Consider the following 23,850-nt stretch of genomic DNA (forward strand, 5'->3'; position numbering starts at 1 on the left):
TGTGTTTGGATCTTTTACTAGAATTAGTAATTTTTCTACCATTACTTTTTCCTTTCCCACTCCAAGACACACTCCAAGAAGGTACTTTGCACACCGTTGTTCTCAAGGAAGGACATTTTGGCAATAACCAAACAAGCCTTCTTAACCAATACTTCTAGTTCTTGGTAACTGCATCTTACTCCATGAGAGGACTGGGAAGGAGGCAGGACCCAAAAGGGATGAATGCTTAATGTGCCTGGGGAGACTAGATCAACATACGGGCTACCTGTCAGCTGTGTCCCAAGCCCCAAGTGTGGCAGACAGATGACAGCATCAGACTTTGAGAGGCTGGTCCTGCTTGGACAAGAATCAATAGAGTCCATGATGAAAGCTAGAGGTCCCCCGTCACCACAACCTTGATTTCAGAATAACACTATGCCTTCCAGATTTGAGACTTCAAATAGGTCCTTCATTTCCATTATGACTGATAGACTTAATTTCCTGCCGTCTTTGTGGGATGGTGGTTCTGACTTGGTTTGATTTAAAGGGAATAAAATAATTACTTCAGACAAATCAGTTTGTGTGGAGTAAGATTCATACCTAGATACAATGCTATTTTCATTTTTAAAATATCTGAAGTCCTTTCATATTCATGACCTCATTCACCATCATGTGAGACGGGTTGGGTGGCTTTGTTGTTGCTTAAGATTCTCAGAATCCTAGAAGCTGAACTTCACTATCTAATCCAGTAGCTTTAAATGTATTCCCATGGCATGCTAGTGTTTCATCAGCTGGACCCATGTTCCACAGCTAAATCTAGCAGAGAGAAAAATAACCAACTCTTCAAGTTTTTAGAGGAAAAACTAAACTAATGGATATATTTCCATTTGTAGCTTTTCTTTCATATTTATTTTTCATAGATCTTTGGTGCCTGCTATAAAATACACAAGTAGTAAAGTTTTCAGAAAAAACCTTTCAATTTCTATCAGGTTTCATTCACACTTCTGTTCAGATATAAAGGCTGAAAAGGCTATAGTTTTATCAGACACACATATATTCCCGTATTTTGGGTAAACTTTCTATTTAAGATAACATTGAATTACACAGTATTACATATGCAGCAGGTATGGTGTGTGTCATAGAACATTATGAATTCCAGGCAAGTTTGAGAAAAAAAACTAAAGGAGTCAACCCTCCCTTTACAGATGAGGAAACTCGGACTCAGTCCCCAATGATATGGACTACACACAGTTAACACAACTGTGTAGCAACTTCTAACTTGTGGCCTTCATGTTCCAAATCTAGTGACCCTTTCACACCTCAGGAAACTGAAACACTGCTAACACACAATGGGAGGAGGGAGTGTGTGGGGCACAAGGAGAGGGCAACATCAGTGACCCAGGCCATCAGGCCCTTGCTATTATGCTAAGCTGTCTCTTACCTAAAGGCCCTCGGCCACTCACAGTGACGAACCATGCAAGATTTCTACTAGCACAGTAGGATCAGCAGCCACACATACAGGACTACTATCCCAAAACAATCACAGAGTCATTCTCTTTCAAATATTTTTTATTGAAATGACAATAAAATAAAAAAAGAACAGTGATCACTTTAACCAAACTTACTTTACAAATATAAAAATATAACCAAAACTTGTTTCTTTTATACATTTGCCATAAACGTAATACCAGAAAAGTTCTCAAAACCAAACTATAAATGATGCTTGAATACTATGATGTGAACACAATAACCAAAAGTTTAAATTTCTAAATACATGACCTTTCCCTCAACAGAACAGCATAATCAATATATCTTCCCAACTTATCTCTATTTTTACGATATGATCCATTACTAAGATACAAAATACACCTGAACTGGCCTAATCTAGAGTTACCTAGGTTTTAGTAAGTTTTTTTCCACAAAAACAAGCTTAATAACTATAATACAAGCTAATATTAAAATGTGTTTTATGGCTCAAATCAAATTACAGTATTAGGTTTCTCATCACGATTTGAACAAAAGCAAACTGCTTGAAATGAGTCCAGTTTAACCCAAATAATCAGTGATGTATAACAAGTGAAGTAAGTATGGGAAAATCAAATCTTATGCTACAGAAAGCTGACTTATACTACAGTCAACAACCACTAAGCCTTCTTTGGCAATGAAACATACAAAATTGCAAACTCTGATGCAGTCTCAGTGATTGGCATATACTGTTCCAAACACTATGAACTAGTAAAAACATTAAGTTTGAGGATGGAAAAGCTACCCCAAGCATTTCATCTCAAGTGACTGAACAAGTACTGTAAAAATAAAGTCATTAAAAAGCCGAGAACATAAGAGCACAACATTTAAGAAAGGGAATTTTAAGCCGATTGCTTGCTGGCCTGTTGAATTTGAAGTACTTCTACCTCTCACTTCTAATTAAACATGGAAGAAAACAGACTGGCTAATTTGGTCACACTTTGTCCAAATACAGTGTTAACTTAATGGAACCCTTAAATATCCAAAATAATAAGTGAATGCTATTTATAAGACAATAAAAAGTTTTAAAATCTTCCAAATGTGCTGTTAACAGTACAAATTCAAGTGCAGAATTATTACGCCATTTTAAGTATTATCTACTTTTTTAAAAAATCACAGTGGTCTTCATCACATGGCGAAAAAACAAACTTCACTCTTCTCCAAAGGGATAAGTCCATCCTAAATGTAACTACAAACAATTGTATAAACCTTTATAGTTTTTCCCCCTAATCTACTAAACATATTCCAGTGTCATTTAGTAGTTTTACATAGAATCTGCACTATACTTGGATACTCAGGGAAAATAAGATGACATATATTGTAGTTTTAGAACGCAAAAGAGCTTTCATTTTAGACAAATATACAACATAGAAGCCACTAAAAAATATGGGTCTATTAATCAAGAGCCCATTTCAAAATGATAAGAGCATTTAGTATGTAGATCTGGAATGCACAGTTTCTGGAAGTATTAGAACTTAGTGTTAAACAGTGCCCTTATACCCTCTTCTAATACTGTAGACACCTACCAACCAGATTTGATTTCCCCTAATTCTATTATTTCCATCAGAAAACCAAAAACAGATTATTGGGGATCCACCTGTAACTGACCAGAGCAAAAAGTTTTTAAGACTTCCGTTTGTGTGTTGCAACTTTTACATTCAAAACCAGATCTCTTACATTTCAAGGTTAGTAACCCAGCCATCCTGAATCAAAGGTTTTTCTCAACTAGGCCTTAGTGTATGGATGACTGGCTCACGTACTTACTGTATATTGGGAAGAAGTGAAGAAGTGAGAAGTGAAGAATTTCTTGGTCAAAGTTTAAGTTACAAAGAACATGAGTGGCCTCGAATCAGATGACTCTTCAACTCAAACACTCCTTACTGAGAGTACTTTATAAAACACACAACAAAAGTCTACCTCTCTCCACCCTCCACAAATTGCAAAAGTGAACATCTGAAATGTGGCCACTGTAGCTTTTCCCTCAAAAGCAATCATGGAAGGTGAGCTGAATCAATCCATCTTCATATCCACTTCCTCCAATCTAAAGGAATAGCTGAAGGACGCAGCTAATGGATGAGCTTACCAGCAAAATACATTACATGAGAAATATGCTAATGTAGGCTAGAGGGGTAGGACTGTTAGGGGCAGGAGGGAAAAGGACAATTCACAGAACTAGTGGCTTTTTCAAAGGAAACTGGGGCATTTTTGATCATGGAGACTGGTGCTCACCTACCATGAAGGACATGCACAGTTAGTCACTACTTAACCACCATGTGAGGGTTTGACATGACCCCAACTAAAAAAACTTGAGTGTTTATTAATTGCTCAGCTACACTTGGCCTGATTTCCTCAAGTATCATATACCTTTGACATCACCCAATATTCAGGAAAATAGCCCTGTGACTGGCACCATACTAATCAAAAGTTCATTTCTATTAAAAACCCTTTTTTCCTTAAGTAGCTACATCTGGCAAGATTCCTTTTTACATTAAGCCTATAGTCAACAAGTCTGTAATAAGGCATACATGCTATACTTTGATCATTAAATAATGACACAACCAGCAAACTCCTTTGCTCTAATATTTTTTATTCCCCCAAATTTGATCCGAATTTATCAGTATTTTTTAAAGTTTTTAAAATTTCGTTTTTCTCTTAACCTGAGAAAACCTGTCCTCTGCCTTGCCCCCAGTTTTCGGTTGATTCACATTATTCCAAAAATATTTTTGAAGGCTCTGTCATTTGCTAAAACCAAATTTTCTTCTCTATGTACACAACTTCAAGTTAATTGAATATTTGTGCAATCTCAGAGTTCAAAACCTAATACATCCAATTTTAGAAATTTCCTTCACAGATCCCTATTTTTACCATGGCTTTAAGAATAAGACACATAATTTCGCAACAGCACAAATAATTAATACCCCCATTATGTGAAGAAAACTCTGAGCTCTAAATGAGTCTCTTCTTATACCAATTCCTATGACTACTGATCGAGCCAATTTTAATAGTTTCCTGTATGTTTAAGGTCTGTTGCTTGCAAACCAAGGCCTGGATGGTTATAAAATGTACTGGTCAGTGAATTATACTGGGAGTTCTCTGCAACACAATTCATTTAGGAGTTGCACCTTGGACTCACTCAGATAAATATAGTTTTCAGAAGTAATGGAAGCTCTTCATCACAAAAATCTAATACAATCTTGGAGTATGTGCCCAAGAATGGTATCAAAGCAAGGGTCCAATAAACTTGACTGACTTAAACCTGTCATTGTGTTGCAACATTCACCATCCTAAGGTGGGGGGAAAAATGATCCTCACCTATAAGAATTTTAGAAGTTTAATGAGAAATTAAAATAAAAAAAGTCCATTTTCTTTAATGTTGTACAAAAAAGTATGAGCAGAACCGAAAGTAAATAAACATTATCACATTTGTTTACACCACTATCTAGTTCTTCATATTAATTTTACTATTCAAACAATAGAAAGGTGGCAATTTAGGGATCGCAAAAGAGATAAAACCAAAAAAACTTTTCTACCACATTTATTCTACACTGTATATAGCTGTGCTCACAGAGACAAGCGGCTTCTTTTACTTCTCCACTGCGCAGGAATTCAGTTGTAAATAAAATTGAACCTGAATTTTAAAAAGAACAATACCTTTATTAAAGACAGTACATACTACTTTCCATATTAGATAAATAAATTTATCTGGATGTTTCTGCCCTCCCTTAGCATGTCTGGCATTTTCTTTTTTTCCCCTTCGAATGCCTTTTTACCACGTTTGGCATTTTCTACACCAATTTTCCCTCACTGGTCACATCTTACACACTAAAAACACTTGTTGAATACTTATAATAAAAAAAATTAAGACTATAAATTTGATTAATTATCCACTAATAAGTTCTTTAAGGCAGGAAAAGTTTCTACATGTCCTTATACTCTGACTACTCAGCACAGTTCCTGCACTTGACAAGTAGGTGTTTGAATAAATAATATGACTCTTTTCCCCCCATATGCATTTCAACTTGTAACCTATCAGGAGGCCAAAGTGGAGTGGCAAAAGATAAGGTTTGATTAGTGACGAAGTAGAAAGAGCAATTTCATACTCAATAAGCTTTCACAAAAGGCCAATTTCACTAACATTTATTAAGTATGTACCAGATTACTGGCACTGTTGTAAGCATTTTATATGCATTATTTCACTTGGTCCTCATAATCCTCTGAAGTAGAGACTACTATCCCCATTTACAGAAGAAGAAACAGTCAAATAGGTATAATAGTTTGTTCAAGGTCACACTGCCAGCAAGTACTGAGGTTGGGCTTCAAATCCAAAACACTGACTGCAGAATCTACTTTCATAACCACCATGTTATTCTGCAATTCCTATATATGGCTGGCTCTAATAGAGACCTCAACCAGTACAAGTCAACTTTTAAAAAACTGCATTTCTTATCACTCTAACTGCCTAAAGATTCAAACCCCACGTAAAAGTTCAGGACCTAATCCCACAAGCCTCAATTTGGGCCAAAATATAGTAAGTTTCAAAAAAGGAAAACGAATATATTACACCAAGATATTCGATTTGCCACCTTTTTTTTCTTTTTTTTAGATGGAGTCTCACTCTGTCGCCCAGGCTGGAGTGCAGTAGCGTGATCTCAGTTCATTGCAACCTCTGCCTCCCGGGTTCAAGCAATTCTCTGCCTCAGCCTCCCAAGTAGCTGGGATTAAAAGCGCTGGCCACCACGCCTCACTAATTTTTGTATTTTTAGTAGAGATGGGGTTTCACCATCTTGGCCAGACTGGTCTCGAACTCCTGACCTGGTGATACACCCCCGCCTCAGCCTCCCAAAGTGCTGGGATTACAGGCATGAGCCACTACATCCAGCCAATTTGCCACATTTTAATACAGACAACTCCGCTCATATTTACACACTGTTGACTGCTATTTAACCATCTCTTTTTTGAATAAAGACATCAACCTTAACTCTTGAGAATATCAGAATTAGGGAAGAGCAGTTGCACAAATACCAGAATGTCATGCCGAAACTTAAGAGTCTGGGGATGGTATTAGTCACAATTAATCTATGGCTTGCACATGATCTAAGAGTCTATCTACTTTCTTAGTTTCCTTAAAGACCAAAATTCATGAACTATACCTTCCCAAGTGGCTCAGAATATTTTAAATTTGACAGTTAATATGGATGAACCAAAAAATGTTCAACTTTCTGTACCTGCTCAACAGCTGAGGGAGACTAGAAATGATGGGTCCATATCCTGGTGCATTGTCATACAATTCAAACAATGGTGCAGCTACCAGCTTGTAATTTTTAGGGACTGCAAACAAGGCTAAAATAAAACAGAATTCATTATTATAAGTTATTATATAATCACTGCTTCCATTTCATTTTTAAATTACCAATTTTACATTTAATAAAAAGTGTAAGAAAAAAGATAATTCTCATTAATACATTTTGGTTGTGTCTTTCAAGGTAGATTTCCTAGCCACAGATTTGAAACTAAAAGCATGGTATACATCTTTAGTTTTACAACAAACCCAAAAGTTCAAGGAACTTTGAGAAAACACAAATAGAGGTATCCTTGAAATTATTCTACAGAATTTTTAGATGGCTACCTTTGAAAACAAAATAACTTACCTTTTTCTTGAAGCTGAACCAGAAACAACTTCTTATGTTCCTTAGGCTTTGTAATATGTGCAGGAATATATGGATACTGAAATTACAAATGAATACAACTTTAATATGTATTCCATGGCTTCATTTCTTTACATGTTTACTCCCCAGTATAGTATAAACTGTTGGGAGAAGCATACTACTTTCTGTCCTCTTTACCAGGACTTATCTAACAGATACACTAGTAAATAAATGCTTTAATGCATATAAAATAACAAGCAGTAAACCAGTCAACCATTCGAGATAAAATATGTAGTCACAGGATTTATAGCTTGAGATACTTAAAACATAATGAAGTCCGATTTTAATTAGTATCTTTAATAAAAGCTTTTTTTTGTTTGTTTGTTTTTTAAGACAGAGTTTTGCTCTTGTTGCCTAGGCTGGAGTGCAATGGCGCAATCTCGGCTCACCACAACCTCTGCCTCCCAGGTTCAAGTGATTCTCCTGCCTCAGCCTCCTGAGTAGCTGAGATTACAGGCATGCGCCACCATGCCTGGCTAATTTTGTATTTTTAGTAGAGGCAGGGTTTCTCCAGGCTAGTCTTGAACTCCCGACCTCAGGTGATCCACCTGCTCTGGCCTCCCAAAGTGCTGGGATTACAGGCATCAGCCACCATGCCCAGCCTAAAAGCTGGTTTTTTAAAAATATATATATAGGCTGGGCACAGTGGCTCACGCCTGTAATCGCAGCACTTTGGGAGGCCAAGGCAGGCGGATCATGAGGTCAGGAGATCAAGACCATCCTGGCTAGCACAGTGAAATCCCGTCTCTACTAAAAATACAAAAAATTAGCCAGGCGTGGTGGCGGGCGCCTGTAGTCCCAGCTACTCGGGAGGCTGAGGCAGGAGAATGGCGTGAACCTGGGAGGCAGAGCTTGCAGTGAGCCGAGACTATGCCACTGCACTCCAGCCTGGGCAACAGAGTGAGACTCTGTCTCCCAAAAAAAAAAAAAAATTATATATATATATATATATATATATATATATATATATATATGATCAGTAAGTTAAACAGTCTAGAATCCTGTTGTAGACCTGTTTACATTAAAAATTCAAATATAAGCTGTGAGGCATTTGACAAGATGCTTCTTGCTCCTCCTTCCAGCCCCAACCTCAAACCTCCCCGTATGCCAAGGTGCATGCTTCAGGAATACCAGAAGAGCAGTCTAAGTGAAGTTTTGCCAGATGGGCAAAGCCAAATTACTCGAGGAAACAAATATAAAAATATATATATAATATATATGTATATTTTAGAGAATTTAAAGGGATGAAGAGAATTAGAGAGGGAAGTTGCTACCCGGGAAGGAAAAATTCTGACACAGAACAAAAAAAAAGTCTAAGGGTTATACAATTCTTGTATAAATCTCTCCACAATACATTCAGAAATCTACTTTTGCTGTTGGAGTTGTATCTGAGAGCTGGGGAATTTAAAATTGCTGAAAACAGATATAAGGGGAAAGTGAGATAAAAGCAGAAGCTGCCAAAAGGAGGTATTAGCATCATCCTCAATTTACACAGAATCACATGCTAAGAGAGGCTAAGTATCTTTCCCAAGATTACTCAGCCAAGTTGTGAAGCCAAGATTTAACTGTATCTATTCAACTCTTATCTAATTATAAAAGCCTATGTTATTTCCCACTGTGTTACTCATTGGCACCTAACCAGTATTCCAGTTAGAATAATTATATATCAGAGCCATCCCTAGGGTACAATGAATTGAGGCAATTGTCCCAGGCTTTGGAGGTTCCTTAAACTGTCATGAAAACCAGATACATTAACAGTCACAGAGAAAGTGGCCTGAATAGCACAAGCTAAGAGATCTGTGGATCACATACAATAAAAGTTCCCAAACCATGATCAAACAAAATGAGTAGCATTTCCCCAAATTTCTTCTGCTCAAGGCTACATGTTCCTATTTTTTTAAGCCTTTCTTCTCTGGTCTTAATGTTTAAGTTGACTGTACTTTATACAAAAAGACTGAGATAGGAAGATGATATGCTCCTTTTCCACTGACATCTAACTAATACTCTAGGCTTCCTAAATAAATCAATACACTTACCTTATGTCAAATACCACCAGGGCCAACTCTAGGCCTTACTGAATGAAGAGAACTGTCCTAGGACAGTGGTAGGGGAGATGAGTGAAGATATTCAGAAAAGTTATCTGGAAAACCACTGGGGTCACTACTAAGCATTTTCCAATTAGATCAAGGCATGTTCAGGAAGCCAAAAAAAAGTTTAGAATAACTGTACTATGTATCTTTGAACAAGTAACTTCACTGTTTCCATATGAAATTGTTCTTCCTTAAAGCCAAGATGTGTTCCTGGCAATTCTTAGGTAGTGAACACCAGCATCAGCTTCCACAGCCCCTATCTTCTTGTCCCTCTGCCATACAAGGGAGTCAGAAGCAAGAGAAAAGAACGATCTTTTGCTTGGTTGATATTTTGTGCAATGCTTGACCTGAAACATCTTGTCATGTAAAGGAGCTATAAAGTCATAGGGCTTTTTAATTTGCCTAAAGAATTCAGGATCCAACTTTAAGAAGTTCCACCATTAGCAAAAATAGGAATATTTGAGCATCAGTAACATCATCACTCATTATCATGGATTAAAATATTTCAAATTATTTAAATCCAAAAGGTCATACTGACACTTTAAAGGTCACTGAAACATGCTTTTTGTGTGTGTGTGCCCCACATTACGCTACCTCTGATTTCGGGGCAGCTATGTTTGAAAAGTATCAGAGGGTTCCCTGTTTGCTGCCACTGTCTCAACAAGCACTCAAGACTCAACATGGAAATGCAAGGGAGTTCATGCAACCCTTATCCAATGGGGTATAGGAGTCCCTACATGGTTCCTGGTCCTTAACAGAACAAATCCAGTTGCCCACAGGTGTAAAAAGATCAATAACATGCCCTGTCTTACTTCTGCTGCTTCTGGTCTCTCTCTCCCCTGTATTCTGCTGCTTCCTGGAATCACCTCTCAAACTGCCTGTACCCAAGTCTTGGTCTTACCCTCTCTTTTGAATAAAGTCAAGTCTTTAGAGGATGCTAAGGAATTAAGTCATTCTTCTGAAAAATGTTAAGTAAAGGAATAGCAGCATATTTTTTTTTTCTACACAAACCACACACTTCAGTAATACATAAGTTTCTTTTTATATGAGGATCACAACCCTTATGAATTCATAGACCAGGAAATGATCATCAATGAGCTGCTAACATTACAACAAGAAACAACCAAATATTTTTAAATTCCTGATGGAAGTACACTATACCAATTGTGATAGACTGCCTTAAGATGACCCCCAATGATTCCTGTCTCCTGGTATTCACTGCTTTGTGTAGTCCCTCCTATAGCGTACCAGGGTTGGCTTGTGTGACCAATAGCACACAGCAGAAGTGATGGTATGCCACTGCCAAGATTAGGTTATCACAGACTGAGGCTTCCTACTTGGGCACTCCTCTAGCACTCTGTCTCTCACTATCTCTTGGATCACACAGCCTTGGGTAAGCCAGCTGCCTGAGAGTTGTCCTTTTAGAGATGTTCTCATGGCAAGGAACTGAGGGAGACCTTGAGACAACAGCCAGCAACACCTGAAGCAAAGCTTTAGTCTAACAGCCCAGATGAAACTAAGAAGTTTGCTAACACACACACGTGTAAGCTCGGGATCAGATACTTTAACCCCAGTTCCACCTTATGATGCAGTCCCAGCTGACAACTTGACTGTAACTTCATGACAGAGCCTAAGCCAGAACCACCCTAAGCAACTCCCAGAGGCCTAAAGGCTGCTAAATTTTGAGGTAATTTGTTATGCAGGTATAGATTATATACCGCCTATGACAAGCCTTGTTACCCCTCCCCAAATTAACTGAGCCTGAATACAATTTCTAGATCTAACTATCAATTTGCAAGACACACAGGGGAAACAGCTACATATTCAACAACAACAGGGGAATGCAATCGAAATGGAAACATTAGCCTGTTTTCATTAACAAATAAAACACAAGGAAAAAAAAAAGGTGCCAAGTGTGTAAAAGAGACTTTAGAGACTATCCTAATCCAAACAAATTATAAAAAGAAAATAGAAATAATCAGGATACGCGAACAGTGACTATATATTTGACAATAATATGGAATTGTTTATTTTTAGTATGATAATAACAGTACTATAGTTATCTTTTTAAAGAGATCCTTATTTTTATGATTCACACTGAAATATTTACAATTGAAATGAATAGCTAGGATACACTTCAAAATAATCCAAGATGAGGGTAGGAGAATGAAGCGGTGGAATGAGGGGTTGTGATGTGCTAACTGTTAAAGGCAGACGACGGGTAGCGCAATTCATTCACTTTTACCATTCTCTCTTCTTTTGTATTTGTTCTATTTATTTATTTATTTTTTGAGAAGGAGTCTCACTGTTGTCCAGGCTGGAGTGCAATGGCACAATCTCGGTTCACTGCAACTTCTGCCTCCCAGGTTCAAGCAATTCTCCTGCCTCAGCCTCCGGAGTAGCTGGGATTACAGGCTTGTACCATCAAACCCAGCTGATTTTTACATTTTTTAGTAGAGACGAGCTTTCACCATGTTGGCCAGGCTGGTCTCAAACTCCTGACCTCAACAGGTGATCCACCCGCCTCGGCCTCCTGAAGTGCTGGGATTACAGGCATGAGCCACCTCGCCCGGCCTTGTATTTGTTTTACATTTTCCTTTAAAATAAGAAGTGCTTGGCTTAATTTTGTAATTTAAATTAAGGAGGGAAGAAAAGAAAATTTCAAGTCAAATTCTACTTTAATCTTTTTTAAAGTGGCTAGAATTAAACGAGCTTTCTGCTTCCAAAATGCCCAGCAAATGTAACTGAACACTGACCTGAGGAGGTTCAAAATTTGGTCTCCACCAGTTACCAATGCAATCGTCAATGACCCAGTCTTGCAAAACTCCATCCTGACGACCCAGTATCTGTCAAAAAGAAATAAGCCAGTAAACAACTAAATATATGTACTCACAAATCCCCTTCTTCAGTGAACAGAAAATTCTTAGCAGTGCTCCTAATTGAAACATAGGGATAATATGCCTTCCATACAGATTTTCTATGATTTGTTAATATAGATGTCACTCTGCCCAAGACATACAATATTAGTTCAAAACTGGCAAGCTAGTATCAACATAAAAATTGTGTTCAAAATTCAGCTTTCATTTTTATTAATTTGTATAGCAGAACACTAAACTTATTTTAACCAAAGTCATACTCTACATATTTTAAGTGGCCAAAAATAGTTCTACAATGTTCATGGTGAGAAACTGCAGTTCTCTGTCCTGCTTCACCCATTCCCACTGGCTGTAACTTTCAACTCTTGGTTGTTTTTCCCCTCATGTTTTCTTCTATTTTTAAAAGCATTCTTCTTGGTCTTAAATAAACGGTTTATTTTAGGATAGTTTTAGATTTACAGAAAACTTGCAAAACTTGTTCAGAGACTTCTCATATACCCCACACAGTTTCCCCGACTGTTAACATCTCACACTAGTAAAGCACATTTGTCAAACTAATCAACCAATACCAAGACAAGATTATTAACTGAAGTCCATATATTATTCAGATATCCATAGTCTTTAACCTAATGTCCTTTTTCATTTTTCAGTCCCAGGATCCCATCTAAGATACCATATTACACTTAATCTTCATTTCTTCCGAGGTTCCTCTACATTGTGACAGCTTTTCATACCTTCCTTGTGTTTGATGATCTTGATAGCTTTGAGGAATACTGGTCAAGTATTTTGTAAAACATCCCTCAATTAAATTGAAGTTATGAGCTTTTGGGAAGAAAACTACAGAGGTAAAAGGGCCATTCTCATCACGTCATATCAAAGGTACATGCTATATCAATATGGCTTATCACTAATGGGCTGAGGTACTGTTTATCACGTTTCTTCAATGTAAAGTCATATTTTTCAAAAAAAAAATTTTTTTTTGAGACGGAGTTTTGCTCATTGCCCAGGCTGGAGTGCAATGGCGCAATATCGGCTCACTGCAACCTCCACCTCCCAGGTTCAAGTGATTCTCCTGTCTCAGCCTCCGGAGTAGGTGGGATTACAGGCACATGCTACCATGCCCAGCTAATTTTTTGTCTTTTTAGTAGAGATGGGGTTTCACCCTGTTGGTCAGGCTGGTCTCGAACTCCTGACCTCAGATGATCTGCCCACCTCACTCTCCCAAAGTGCTGGGCTTACAGGCATGAGCCACTGCACCGGGCCTCAAAACTACATTTTTTAAGAGATAGGGTCTTGCTCTGTCACTCAGGCTGGAGCACAGCGACGCAATCATGGCTCACTACAACTCCTGGCCTCAAGCAATCTTCCGGCCTCAGCCCCACAAAGCACTGGGATTACAGGTGTGAGCCACCATGCCCAGCCAAAATATTCTTTTATGACAGTTTCTTGATTTTCATTTTATTTTATTTTATTTTTTTGAGACAGAGTCTCGCTCTGTTGCCCAGGCTGGAGTGCAGTGCCGCAATCTTGGCTCACTGCAACCTCCACCACCCAGGTCCAAGCGACTCCCCTGCCTCAGCCTCCCGAGTAGCTGGGACCACAGGTGCCCGCCACCACACCCAGCTTTTTTGTATTTTTAGTAGAGACAGGGTTTCACCATGTTGGCCAGGATGGTCTCGATCTTTTGACCTTGTGATCCACCTGCCTCGGCCTCCCAAAGTGCTGGGATTACTGGCGTGAGCCACTGCGCCTGGCCTCTTGATTTTCATTTTAAAAACATTTTTTAAAAGCCTATAACCCTCTACTATGAATGAGAATTTAGATATTAAAATCACACATCCTAGTTACACTTTTTCTTCCACCATCTTCCCATTATCAATATTTGGTTAAGTCAATATTCAGTATTTAAGTTAGTATGATCCGGTAGATCAGTCACAACAGAGCAATGATTAGCAAACCGTATCTCCTTACTTGTTCAACTGTCCTATTCTTTAGTTAATAACTTTCATTTCCTTTGCTATCACTAAATTCATTTCCCACATTCTCCATGATAACTTAAATTTCTTCCCAATTCAAATATCAATTGTCAGTTATTCTATTAATTTCATCTTTTCTAAGACATGTTTTTCCTTTTTTCAAGACAAGATCTGTCACCCAGGCTGGAGCGCAATGGCGCGATCTCCACTCACTGCAACCTCCACCTCATGGGTTCAAGCGCTTCTCTCACCTCAGCCTCCCCTGCCCCCAGCCTCCCGAGTAGCTGGGACTACAGATGCAAGCCACAGCACCAGGCTAATTTTTCACCATGTTGCCAAGGGTGGTCTCAAACTCCTAGGCTCACGTGATCTGCCCATCTCAGCCTCCCAAAGTGCTGAAATTGCAGGCATGAGCCACCACACCCAGCCTAAGACACGTTTTTCTATCATCCTGCTGTAATCTGTACTTGATAGTCTCAACCCTGCTTCACAGCTGGAGTCCTTATTTTATTCCATTTTGGGGGTGAACACCCTCTAGTAGCTTCCTGAGAAAAGGTACAAGAGATGTAACTTTTTGAAACTCTGCATGTCTAGAAGTAACTTTTACCCACACACTTGATTTATAGTTTGATTAGAAAATTCTAGGACAGAGATTATATTCTCTCAAAATTACAAAGACAACACTCCACCATCCCTTAGCTTCCAGAATTATTTCTGGGTAGTTTAATGCAATTTCTGATTTTGATGTTTTGCATTTAACCTCTCTGCTTACCAATCCTCCACCTCCCACTTTGGAAGCTTTTACATCTTTTTGTTTTTATTTTCGTTTGTAGGATCTAAAACGTCATGATGATATGCCTTTGCGTGGATCTTTAAACATTCACTATAGAGGCAAGGCCAGTAGGTCTTCTCAATCTCAAAACTCATGCCCTTTGAGGTTTGAGAAATTTTCTCTAATTATGCTTTGCTAATTCTTCCTTTTACTCTGTTCTATTTATCTATAGTTTATATTGGTCCTTCTAGAATGACCCACTAATTTTATCTATTCTTACCTACATTCTATCTTTTTATCTTTTCATTCTATTTTCTGGTAGAATGAACCTCTTAACTCTTTACTGAATTTTTCATTTCTTCCAACATTTTTTTAATATCCATGAGGTTTTTCTTGGCTAAAATGTCTTTTTAATAGCACTGTTTCACAGGTGCAAAATCTCCTCTCATCTCACCAAGAATATTAATCATAGTTTTGTCAATGGTTGAATTTTCTGCTTCTGTTGAGGTCCTTTTGCTTCTTTTGATCTTTTTCTTGTTAAGAAGTTTTCTCCAAAAGCCTGGTGATAGTTGGTTGTGTACTCACAAGGGAGAAGCAACAAGATGCTTAATTGTCACCTCTGTGTGCATGAGTGATAGGACTACAATATTTTTTTTTCTTTTTTTTTTTTGAGACGAAGTCTTGCTCTGTTGCCCAGGCTGGCGTGCAGTGGCATGATCTTGGCTCACTGCAACCTCCACCTCCTGGGTTCAACTGATTCTCCTGCCTCAGCCTCCCGAGTAGCTGGGATTACAGGCACCCGCCACCACGCCCAGCTAATTTGTTTATGTTTGTAGAGACGGGGTTTCACCATGCTGGTCAGGCTGGTCTCAAACTCCAGACCTCATGATCCACCCGCCTTGGCCTCCCCAAGTGCTGGGATTACAGGTGTGAGCCACCGCGCCTGGCCCAGGACTACATTATTTCTATAGAAAATTCTTGCTTTGGTTTGGATATGGTTTGTCTCCCTGCCCCCAAACTCATGTTGAAATTTGATCCCCAATGTGACAGTGTTGGCAGGCAGGGCCTAGTGGAAGGTGTTTGAGTCATGCAGGTGGATCCTTCATGAATAGTTTAATACCCTTCCTCCATCAGGAATGGATTAGTTCCCTGGAGAGAGGGTTGTTAAAGAGTGTGGCTTCCTGGATTCACTCTTGCTTCCTCCCTTGCCATGTCTCTTTGCACATGCCCACTCCCATTTTGCTTTCTGCCATGAGTGGAAGCACCATGAAGCCCTCACCAGCTGCCCAATCTTGCCACCAGAACTGGTGAGCCAAATAAATCTTTTTCTTTATAAATTACCCAGCCTCAGGTATTCTGTTATAGCAACATTAAACAGACGAAGACAGCTCCCAAATGGCAGTATCTGAAGTTTTTCTTGGACTGGTCACTTTTTCCAGAAACAAGAATTCCAACCCTCAGCCTGGGATATATAAATCTAATTGTTGGCTGGGCCTGGTGGCTCATGCATGTAATCCCAATGCTTTGGGAGGACTGCTTCAGGCCAGGAGTTTGAGACCAGCCTGGGCAACATAGCACGATCTCATCTCTATAAAAAACTTTTCTTTAATTAGCCAGGCATCATGGGCACATACCTGCAGTCCTAGCTACTCAGGAAGCTGAGGCAGGAAGATTGCTTGAGCCCAGGAGTTTGTGGTTACAGTGAGCTATGATCACACCACCATCCTCCAGCCTGAGGAACAGAGTGAGACCCTGTCTCTAAAAAAAATAAGTAAGCCTAGACTGACAGTGGCTCACACCTGTAATCCCAACACTTTGGGAGGCCAAAGCAGGCAGATCACCTGAGGTCAGGAGTTCGAGACCAACCTGGCCGACACGGTGAAACCCCATCTCTACTAAAAATATAAAAATTAGCTGGGCATGGTAGTGGGCACCTGTAATCCCAGCTACTCTGGAGGCTGAGGCAGGAGAATCGCTTGAACCCAGGAGGCAGAGGTTGCAGTGAGCAACCATTGCTCACATTGGAGATCACGCCACTGCACTCCAGCCTGGGCGACAAGAGTGAAACTCCGCCTCAAAAAAAAAAAAACAAAAACAAAAAAAAAAAAAAACAAGCCTAATTGTTAACATTCTGTCAGCCTAATAGAGGTCCAAGAGTCTGACTATTCAGAATAGGAACTCTTATTCTCCCCATCCCCTAAACTTTTTTCATTGCTAGTTGTTCTCTGATTCAATTACTACAGAGAATCATCAGCCAGTCTTTGCCTAATTACAGAGTGGGGAAGACAATCTAGATACACAGGTTGAACATCCCAATCTGAAACTCCAAAATCTCAAACTTTTTGAGCACTGACATGATGCTCACAGGACATGCTCAGGCCGGGCGTGGTGGCTCATGCCTGTAATCCCAGCACTTTGGAAGGCCAAGACAGGCAGATCACCTGAGGTTAGGAGTTCTAGACCAGCCTGGTCAACATGGTGAAACCCTGTCTCTACTAAAAATACAAAAATTAGCTGGGCGTGGAGGCAGGCACCTTTAATCCCATCTACTCGGGAGGCTGAGGCCGGAGAATCGCTTAAACCCGGGAGGCGGAGGTGACAGTGAGACAAGATTGCACCATTGCACTCCAGCCTGGGTGACAAGAGAGAGACTTCGTCTCAAGAAAAAAAAAAAGGAAATGCTCATTGGAGCATTTCAAGTTTTGTATATGGGATGCTTAACTGGTAAGTATAATGCAAATATTCCAAAACCTGAAAAAAATCCCAAATCCTAACCACTTTTTTAATTTTTAATTTTTTTGAGTACACAAGATGTTTTGATACAGGCATGCAATGCGTAATATTCACATCATGGAGAATGGGATATCCACCCCCTCAAGCATTTATCCTTTGTGCTACAAACAATCCAATTATACTCTTTTAGTTATTTTTAAATTTACAATTAAGTGATTATTGACTATAGTCACCCTGTTGTGCTATCAAATAGCAGCTAAACACTTCTGGTCCCAAGCTCTCAGATAAGGAATACACAACCTGTATAAATATACTCCATATATACTTTGAACCAGTCCAGTTTTCAGCCCATGCATGCCCCCACTTTCATAAGTACCTAGCACCTTCAGTTCCTCAGTCATTCTGGTACTCTGCAATGCTAGATTCTGCCTGCCTGTCTGCTGGACTAAGGTTTCTGCTAAGTTAGTTATAATTTGCCCATCTGTTTTCCAGTTTCCAAAAATTTTGCTTTTGTGATTCTCTCATTTTGCACTCCCTCAACCTTAATGGACTTATATCTTTGTACCATACATTATATAAATGGAAGTCCAAGCACAGGAAAATGTTTAAGAGTTATAATACATTTTTAGAAATACTAGAAAGACAAACCAATAGGTCAAAAGTGGGAGAATTACGGGTGACTTTAGTTTTGTTTCTCCTTTGCTTTTCTGTGTTTGCCAAGCTTTTTGCACAGAGAATATATGAGCTTTGTAACAGGGGCAGGCGGCAATTGAATGTTAAAGAAGAAAACTAACATTGAAAACAATTTACAATCTCAAAATCCTCAGTATCTATGCATTTGGCCCCAAGTCTTTACATGCAGGCATTACAATGATTTTTAAAAAGTAGAATAATTTGGGCAAAGTCTAAAAAATATGTGAAAAAAGTGAAAACACAGGCATCTTTCTCTTTTCAAAATTCTATAGAGGCCTACTCTTGAACAAAACTACCTGCATTCAAACCTCTGGCTCTACAACACACTAGCTATATAACAAGAAGTAATTTAAACTTAATAATATCTACTTCCTACAGTTGTGGTGGTGATTAAAGGAATTAGCGCATGTAAAGCACTCAGAACAGTGTCTAGCACAGTAATACTTAAATGTCAGTTTTAATTTACCATTGCTGTGACACAGTTTAACATTTTAAAAATTGAAATAAGTGTAACTTCAACTTGTAAAAAAAAATCAACATTGTACTAACCTTCTGGAGTTTAAGTTGTATTTATTGAAAACTAAATATTCCAAAATAAGCATCCTTTTTACAAGACATTAAAAGCCAAATAACTAGTAAGTTGATGGTATTCAAAGTGGTTAAACAGAAAAATACCTCTGTCATTAAGCGTTTTAGTCCTTCAACTTCATCTTCTCCTGGGTTAAGTTCACCACCAGGTCTGTATAAAAGTTAAGAATTTCAGCTTTCAACTTAATACAATTTGGAGATAACAAATAACACAATAATTGTTATTTCTACCAAGTCACTAAGAACATATTTCAGCATAATAAGGCAATCAAAACAAGTATCAAAGTGAAGGGGGAGAATATGCTTGAATTCATGTCAATTCCCCAGACTAACAGTATACAAACCCTAGGTTTTTTTCCTCTTCGTATATATTTATTTTTATTTTATTGTAGATTCAACGGGTACATGTACAAGTTTGTTACATAGGTATATTGTGTAATGCTAAGGTTTAGGCTTCTAGTGAACCCATCACTGAAACAGTGAACATAACATCCAATAGGAAGTATTTCAACCCTCGCCTCCCCCTCACCCTCCCCACCTTTGGAGTATACAGTGTTTATTTTTTCCAACTTTATGTCCATATGTACCCATCACATAAACCCTAGTTTTAAACAAACAGAATATATAACATAGCACAAACATAAACAAAATTGCTAACCACCAGTCCATCCCAATCTCCTCTCTGGGAGCTATCTGATGATAATGGAGTCTAGAAATGCTCAGAGAGGAATGGATCACATTCTTTAGGCCTAAAGAATGGGAAACTTTTTCAAGAACGTCATCTAAGTATTGGAGACTTTTCTTTTTGGTATAATCTAGTCAAATAGTTACGGATCAAATGTTTGAGAGATGTAGGAGCTTAAATGATAAAACACTAAACTGTTATCCACAAAAACCTAAGTCATCTTAAGAACAGGAAATGCTAATCATACCAAGAAAGAAATATCAATTGTTCTTGGTAATGCTACAATGACATCTAGACATTGATCTTGGACTCAACTATTCCATGGGGTTTCTACCAAGCTCAATCATTAACATCAACAACATACAGAAACATACAGATTACTAGTTAGGAAAATAAATGAGCACTGCAATGGAGAAAAATTACTCATGATTTTCTCTTTCTAAAGACATCATTAACAGCAGTGTTTGTTGAAATGAATGACCGAGGGCTAAAATTGTATTCCAGAGCTGCATAAACAGCAATCCTACTAAAAACTGTCTTGCTGTTAATTTCCAACACTACTTACAGTTTGAAGAAAGTTGTTCCCAGCTGCAGCAGTAACACATGGGGTAGCCGGTGCTCATGTACAATCAGAACCCCTTCTACAGTCCTCCTCATTCCAATTTTATCAAATTCTTCCCTCATGCGCTGAAATCTGGCTGCAACAGAGCTGTCCTTCTCGTAGAGGGGCTCTTTTGTACCAAAAGTATAATTGGTAAGAGGGTACCTGTGATCCGAAGACAAACATCTAACATGAGAACTGAAGAATGTAATTTACCATGACAGACATTAGCATAAAGAAACCATGGTACAAAAAAAGTGCATATATTGTACTCAGACACAGGATTTGTACAGTTAACTAAAGTTAATGAAACAGCAGAGACTGGAATCTTGCTCTCTGGACTCTTAAAGCCAGAGCTTCCATTAGATCAAGCTGCTCCTCCATACTTTAACTTTCAAGTGTAGATAACACTATCCTTAAATGCTTAGAGAAATGGTTATCTGAACATTAGTAATCCTCTGGTTTTATACCATGGCTGCTATTTCAACATTACCAATTTGGCTAATAATTAATGTCCCCCTGCATTCCACTGACTACTAATCTAATCAGAAAGTTTTAATTATGGGTGCTAATGGCTAATTTCTTTTTCCTAAAACTAAGCCACCGTTTTTCATCAACATCCCTCCAGTTATTTTCTATTTCTCTCAGTCAACTATCCTCAGATTTTTCTTGCACCACAGCCTTTCCTTTTCACAGCAACTCTTCTACTTTCTCTTTTTGTCCTCTAAACCTATTTACTAGCCTTTGGCATTTATTCTATTCAGTCTCCTTATTGTTTCCTTCTCCTCATCTGAATCTTCTACCCACCATATCTAATCGAAAACTCTCTTCCTTTACCAATAATTTAAAATATGGCTCAAACTGTTAAAGACAGTTTTCATCTTGCCTAATAAGGATCAAATTTTTCTTTAAAGATAGTTAAAAAATCCATACTTATATGTTGTAAGCCCTTAATTAAAGCCTTACAGCAAGAAGCCTTTGAGTACGAATTTAGGCCACATTTGCCCATCCAAGGTATCTATTCTACCAAAAGCCCTTGACATTAATAGTCAACATTATTGTATCTACCCCACTCAGCCATTCTTGAAAGGGGAAAAAATCAAGGTTGCCAAAACTTTAAAAATTACTTTAATTCCAGAAGCCAAGTTCTAGGCATATGAAAAAGCTCTAAAATAATTAAAATATACCATTCCAGGATGCTTTAAAAATTTAAAGAACATCCCCGGTAGATCCAATGCTAAATCTAAAACCATCATCCATAGCAGCAGCAGATATGCTACATAGAACGACGTGCCAAGCAATTTTTTAAAACGCTTTACATATATTAACATTTAATTCTGACAACCTGAGTTAGAAAGAATTAAGGATAGCCATTACACATCTCTGTTGCAAGAGCCAGCTCCAATATATCAGTAAGGAGATGTGAAGATGAAATGTCAGAATTTTCACCTGTGAAATCAGAGTGCCAGCCCAGACATACATATTGTTCTCATCATACTGTGAGCTTCATAAAGCAGGGGCTACACCTTACTTCCTCACCACTGTATATCCAGTATTGTGCACAGTGCCTGGTACAAAGTAGGCATTCATGCAATATTTCCTAAAATAAAATATACTGGGGGAGAGGGCATTTGTTTTCAACTTAATGTTAACTCAGGTGAACTTAAGTTCACAACACAATTATTATTTCTGAATATTTGTATTTACACAGGAGAGGAAATGTACTGTAAATCAACCCATAATTTTAATAGAGCGAAGATTAAAATATCTTACTGAAAGCTAACTATTTTGCCAATTCTACAAAATGGTTGGATGCAAATTAATTCAGTAATCAAGACAAAACAAGAAAAGACTGTGGGTTTTAGTTCTAATAACCACCGAAAGTAATCCAGAAGCTGTGCTTTCACACTTTTAAAAAGGATAACATTTGCCTTTACCATTTGATGGATTTTTTCTTAATTTTTAAAAAAATTTTTGTAGAGACAGCCTATGTTGCCCAGACTGATCTCCAACTCCTGGCCTCAAGTGATCCTCCCACCTCAGCCTCCCAAGGTGCTGGGAGTACAGTCGTGAGCCGCCACTCCTGAGAACTTTTATACACACAACTATCAACTAATTCCAGATTTTATAAACCCAGCATTTCCATTATCTAAATTTCCAAGCCAACACGTTTTGCAAAATAAAACAATGTTAACCATCTTTTCAACTTCAAATCACTTTTGGTTGGGGGACGGGGAGACAATGTCCGTTTATTTTAATATGAAACAGAGAAACACCTAAACTGCCTTACGAAAACATCAATACCACCAAATCCTTGCACTTGTACCCTGACTGGCATAAACTGGCCACTTTCCTCCATCCTGGCATAAAATGGAGGCACCGCGTTGCCTCGAAAACAAATCCTCAGAAACGATTTTAAAAAGCATTACTGACAATTTCTTGATTAAGACACCCCAAACGCCAATTACCTGCTACAGCGAGTCTGCTTCTGAGAATGACCTTGAAATGCAATGGTTTGAAGTGTTGAAACAGAAAGGTGTTGAAAATAAAACACAGCCCACAATGGGTTTTCTGGTACAAACATTCTGGTTCCCTCCAGTCTGAAAGCCCAACCATAGCAGCATCCTTACTCCCAAGGAGGGGCCTACTTGTGGTGCCTGGGATGCCGGCATTGAGACATCAGACGACGCGAAGGCATAAGGCATGGGGCAGGGCAGACAGCCCTGAGCACATGAATAAAATGTGTTGTATTCAAAAACTGAAGTATTAAGTGGCACCTAAAAGGAAGAAAACTAGACCTAGGCATTACAGCTAGATCTCGAAACCTTACTGTCAGAGTGAAATCTGCAAAAATGATACTAGGTTATACCATTCGTATCACATCAACACTCACAAAGCAATACCATGTACGTGATGCGAAAGCATAAACAATTCACTGGAAGGATTAAAAAAACACACATTTTGAAGTCGGTTACCTCTGGAGAGGTGGGGAAAGGATGAGTTAAAAGCAAACTCCGTTTTTCCCCATTATGACCGAATACATAGGATGGGAACAAGCCTTCCTTTCAGAAAAGGACTCTAACCCTGGAGGCTGGAGGATGAGAAAGGGGCCTGAGAGAGGGAGGAAGGCGCGCATCCGCCAGCGGGAGTTGGAGGCGGGGAGGTGCAGAGGCGTGAAGCGCGCCGAAAAGCCGGGGGCGCGTCGGAGAGTCTATAGGAGCTTTCACGAGAGAAATGCCCGCCAAGGCCGCGCCGCACTTACAGGTTGATGGTGCGCTCCAGGGTGAGGGGCTTCGTCTGCTGGATGTACTTGTTGCCGAACTGAGTGACCCCCCGGGGCCAGCCGGTCTGCGAGCGATTGGGCGGTACCACAGACATGCTGGCGAGCTCCGGCGCTGACGGCGAGCAGAAAGTGGCAGGCAGGGTAGACTTTCCCCGTGCGGGAAGCGGTTATCTGCAATCCCCTCAGCGGCTACTGCCCGCCATTAACAGGACAGCGCAAGAGGAGGCGTAGGCACGCCGGAAGTGAACCCGGAGCCTCTGGCGGCAGGAAGTAGAGGGGCGGTGGCCTGCCAGACCGAGCTCCAGTGGGCCAATTGCTGGTGGGATGGCTGCAATAGCTGGAGCT

General features: G+C 39.1%; 1 protein-coding gene across 1 annotated transcript, besides 1 other annotated feature; it reads right to left on the minus strand.

Moving 5' to 3' along the window:
- On the minus strand, positions 1,531–23,730 carry NUDT21 (nudix hydrolase 21). Its single transcript, NM_007006.3, has 7 exons — positions 23,485–23,730; positions 20,187–20,387; positions 19,024–19,087; positions 12,055–12,144; positions 7,152–7,227; positions 6,729–6,843; positions 1,531–5,131 (listed from the first exon to the last, which is right to left on the minus strand). The coding sequence occupies exons 1-7, from the start codon at positions 23,598–23,600 to the stop codon at positions 5,110–5,112; spliced, it is 684 nt and encodes a 227-aa protein (NP_008937.1). The 5' UTR covers positions 23,601–23,730; the 3' UTR covers positions 1,531–5,109.
- Positions 23,683–23,822: an enhancer, noted in NCBI's record as "active region_10849". NCBI's record gives its function as "activates an Ori minimal core promoter by ATAC-STARR-seq in GM12878 lymphoblastoid cells {active_cell/tissue: GM12878}" and the evidence as "EXISTENCE:reporter gene assay evidence [ECO:0000049][PMID:35858748]".

This window comes from Homo sapiens, chromosome 16, assembly GCF_000001405.40.
Source record: "Homo sapiens chromosome 16, GRCh38.p14 Primary Assembly".
NCBI lineage: Eukaryota > Metazoa > Chordata > Mammalia > Primates > Hominidae > Homo > Homo sapiens.